This window comes from Homo sapiens, chromosome 7, assembly GCF_000001405.40.
Source record: "Homo sapiens chromosome 7, GRCh38.p14 Primary Assembly".
NCBI lineage: Eukaryota > Metazoa > Chordata > Mammalia > Primates > Hominidae > Homo > Homo sapiens.
This window is the reverse complement of record NC_000007.14, coordinates 53045332-53047874: the sequence shown is the minus strand read 5'-3', so window position 1 is coordinate 53047874 and position 2543 is coordinate 53045332.

The window sequence follows — 2543 nt, the reverse complement described above, 5'->3', positions numbered from 1 at the left end:
TTTAGGTTTCCTCCATGTCTTTTTATGGCTTGACAGATAATTTCTTTTTAATGCTGACAAATGTTCCATTGTCTGAATGTACCAAGTTTTATCCATTCACCTGCTATAGGAGAATTTGATTGCTTCAAAATTTTGACAATTACAAATAAACATATTTGTGCATTTTTGTGCAGACATAGATTTTCACACTTTTGGGGGATAGATTTGATATTTAGGAAAGGAATATGGAAAGGAATTTGGAAAGGAAAGGAATTACAAGGAATATGATTGTTGGATTGTGATAAAACTATGTTTCATTTTCTGTGAAACTGCCAAACTGCCTTCCTAAATAGCTGTACTCTATTGCATTCCCACCAGCAAAGATAAAAGTTCCTTTTGAACCACATCCTTGCCAGCATTTGGTACAGACAGTACTGGATTATAGTCATGCTTATTATACATGTGTAGTAATAGCTCATTGTTATTTTAATTTGCATTTTTCTGATGTCATATTATGTGGAGCATCATTTCATGTGCTTGTTTACTATCTGTGTATCTTCTTTGGTGAGCAATCTGTTAAGATTTTGGCACTTTCTTAATTTTTAATTTTTGTGGGAACATAATAGGTGTATATATTTATGGGGTACATGAGATATTTTGATACAGGCATGCAATGCATAATAATCACATCCAGGAAATGGAGTATCCATCACCTCAAGTATTTATCCTTTCTTTGCATTACAAACAACCCAATTATACTCTTCAGGTTATTTTAAAATATACAATAAATTATTGTTGACTGTAGTCACTCTGTTATGCTATCAAATACTATATCTTATTCATTCTATGTAACTATATTTTTGTACTCATTAACCAACCCTTTAACCCCCACTACCATTTGCAGCCTCTGGTAACTGTTACTCTAGTCTCTGTTTCCATGAGTTCAATTGTTTTAATTTTTAGTTCCCACAAATGAGTGAAAATATACTTGTATTTCTGTGCCTGGCTTATTTCACTTAATATAATGATGTCCAGTTCCACTCATGTTGTTGCAAACAACAGGATCTCATTCTTCCTATGGCTGAATAGTATTCCATTTTGTGTATGCACCACCTTTTCTTTATCCATTTGTCTATTGATGGATGAATTGGGTTGCTTCCAAATCTTTGCTATTGTGAATAGTGCTGAAAAAAGCACAGGAGTGCAGATATCTCTTCCATATACTGATTTCCTTTCTTTTGGATATATACTCAGCGGTGGGATTGCTGGATTATATGTTATTTCTATTTTTAGTTTTATAAAGAGCTCCAAACTGTTCTCCATAGAGGTTGCTCTAATTTACATTCTCATCAACAGTGTATGAGGGTTCCCTTTTCTCCACATCTTTGCCAGCAATTGTTATTGCCTATATTTTGGTTAAAACCCATTTTAACTGGGTGAGACGATATTTCACTGTAGTTTAGATTTGCATTTCTCTGATGAAGGCCCATTTTTAATCAAGTTGTTTGTCTTATTATTGAGTCCTAATTACTTTTTTGTATTTTGTTATATATAAATACAATATATGTTGGCTTTACAAAAATTAGTTTATATCTCTACATGTAAATTTTTCTTTTATTGTAACAATTTTCTATATATTTTTTAATTGTAATGCATTTTACATATTCTGCTTTGTCTATAAATGTGTAGCCACATTCTCATTTTTAATCACTATTTAATACTGTGTTTCATTATTTGACTCATGCATGCATTCAACAAATATTCAGGTGCCTGTTCTGGACTCTGGGGACATAATCATGAATAAAAATATCCCTTCTCTCAAGGGTTTATATTCTAGTGGGAGAGCAACACACAAGTAAATATCAATTATAAACTCAATCGTGGACAAATCCTATGAAGAAAAAGAGAGCAAGGTGAGGGGTTGTTGTACAGCAAGGCAGGGTAGAGAAGGGGCCAGGGTTTCAGACCAGGTGGGCAGGGAAGGTCATCTCTGAGCAGAGACTTGAGTTAAGTGGAAGTGAGCTATCTGGAGATAGGCAGAGTTCCAGGAAAGAAAACAGAAAATGGAAAAGTCCTTAAGAGAAATAAGCTTCTTTTTTTTAGATATTTCATTTATTTCACACACTTTTAAAGATTTTGTAAAGTTTCTCCTCTATCTTCCTCTAGCATTTCAAGAGTAAGATTCATTTTTATTTTATTTTATTTTATTTTATTTTATTTATTTTTTGAGATGGAGTCTTGCTCTGCTCTGTCACCCAGGCTGGAGTGTGGTGGCACCATCTCGGCTCACTGCAACCTCCACCTCCCGGGGTTCAAGCGATTCTCCCATCTCAGCCTCCCAAGTAGCTGGAATTACAGGCGTATACCACCACATCTGACTAATTTTGTATTTTTAATAGAGACGGAGTTTCACCATGTTGGCCTGGCTGGTCTCAGACTCCTGACCTCAAGTGATCCACCCCCCTCAGCCTCCCAAAGTGCTGGGATTACAGGGGTGAGCCACCACATCCGACCTCAATTTTTGCATTTAAATCTTTGATTCAAACCAATGCATTTGTCGTGAG